The 2,045-nt window shown below is 50.6% G+C and overlaps 1 annotated feature.

Annotated features, from left to right (window-relative positions):
• Positions 391-620: an enhancer, noted in NCBI's record as "active region_18889". NCBI's record gives its function as "activates an Ori minimal core promoter by ATAC-STARR-seq in GM12878 lymphoblastoid cells {active_cell/tissue: GM12878}" and the evidence as "EXISTENCE:reporter gene assay evidence [ECO:0000049][PMID:35858748]".

Consider the following 2,045-nt stretch of genomic DNA (forward strand, 5'->3'; position numbering starts at 1 on the left):
GAAAGTGCGTCTGATGTGTTCTGAGGAAGAGCCAGCAGGTCTGTGTAACTGGAAGACAGCCCATGAGGATCAGATTTTACAGAGTCTCATGGGCCATCTGACTTTATGTGGGGTCAGGGAAGGCTTTTGACCAGGAATGGACAGATATGGAGACAGATATGGCAGCTGGATGGAGCACAGACTGAAGAGAAAGAAGAAGGCAGAGAGCCTAAGTGTGGTTGTCCAGGAGGAATGCACCTGGCTCACTCCAGGGGCCGCCAAGGTGGTGTGGGAAGTGGGGGGATTCAGGATATACCTAAAGTTCTAACCAGCAGGATTTGCTGATGGAGTGGGTGTGGGATGTGAGGAAAAGGAGGCAGGGATCATTCATAGGTTCCTGGTTTAGGTCAATCTGGGCTGAGGCCTGGAGCCCGATCAGTTGCCCCAACCCAAGGCAAGGGCGCATGGAAACGGCCACAGCATCCACTGTGCTGGCCTCATATGATCTCATTTAATGCTCACAGCAGGCCTGTGACATAGGCATTGTTAGTCGCACTGAAGACATGAGGGAAACTGAGTCCCAAGAAGTAACCAGACAAAGCTCACAGCAAGCAGCAGAATGAAGAGGTGAAGCTGAGATGGTCTGACCTTGGCAGCCTGGAGCCTTAGCCACTGGTTGACGCTGCCATCAGCCTCCACAAGGGGTCCCCCAGCTCTGGAATATTCTATGCTGCAAAATCAGTAATCAAGAGACCCAGTTGCCACAGGTCTTGGCTTTTCCACAAACTGACCTTGTGGGCTTGGGGAAATGGCCTCTCCTCATGGGCTGCAGTTCCCCATCTGGGTTAATGGGCTCTCCAGGCCTTTTCTACTAAAAAAATCCACTGTGTAAATACTGCAATTTCCAGAAAGTTCTAGCAGCACCAGCAGACCTTTCCAGAGTGAGAGATGGGTTGCACTGCCCTCTATAGAGAAAACCTCCTAGAGAAGCTCTGTCATGCTACCTATTCTCTGGTCTGTCCCTCTGCTGGTGACCCCGCACTAGCTGACCACCCCTTCGTGGCAATGATAGACCCGCCCACTCAGCTCCTCAGCCCATGTCCCTCAGAGCTCCTGCCTGTGCTCGCCTTCCCTGTTCCTCTTTCCCTTCATCAAACAAAGAGCTGCTCCAATTGCAGGGTTCTGTTTGCAACCATGATGAGGTCTATCATGCAAGTCACCAAGTCGCCATTCACTGCACACCTGTGAAGTTCAGTGGCCTCATCTCATCTCAAGCTCTTGACAGCTGAGAGGGAAACACTGTTTTATCCCCACCTCTATTAGGTCATGAAAAGCTGGACGTAGGTCAGTTGAGAGCAGGCACAAGAGGATGGGCCAGGTTTGGCCCTCCCAGTGGCCAGGCCCAGAGTCCAGAGTCCATGGCAAGAATATTCAGCCTCCCTCCAACCCCAGCAAATTCATGGCAGCTCTTCTCCAGGTGAGGCTTTCCCCTAGGTTGACATCCCCATCTCCACAGCACATTCTCCATCCCCTCATCTCAGAGACTGTGCAAGTGCCCCTTCCTCCAGGAAGTCTTCCCTGATGCCCCAAGTGAAGGAACTTAACCTTCCACTGAAAACCCCAAGGCAGTTTCTAATAGTCACTTTTAGCTTTGGTTTTTCAATGAGCACTGGAAGATAAAGCGGTTTTTAAGTGTATAGGCTCTAGAGCAGGACAGACCTGGGTTCAAATTCCACCTTCTCTGTTTCTTAACTGTGTGGCCTTGGGCAAGTTACTCACCTCTCTGGACCTCCTTTTCCTCATGAGGTTTTTGGGAGATTTTAACTTAAATGGTCAACTTTAGGTATAGTGCTGATAGCAGCTGCTACTGCATCCTGAGGGCTTTCTGCAGACCCGGCACTGTTCTATGCCCTTTATGTTCAATTCTCACAGCAGCCCTGTGACACAGGTTCAATCAGTAGACCCATTTTACAGAAGAAGAGGCTGAAGCACACAGTGTTAAAATAATTTGCGCAAAGTTCCCTGGCTTCCCTACTTATTTGCTGTGTGCCTTTGGGCAAGTCACT

The sequence above is a fragment of the Homo sapiens genome, chromosome 22, assembly GCF_000001405.40.
Source record: "Homo sapiens chromosome 22, GRCh38.p14 Primary Assembly".
NCBI classification, from domain to species: domain Eukaryota; kingdom Metazoa; phylum Chordata; class Mammalia; order Primates; family Hominidae; genus Homo; species Homo sapiens.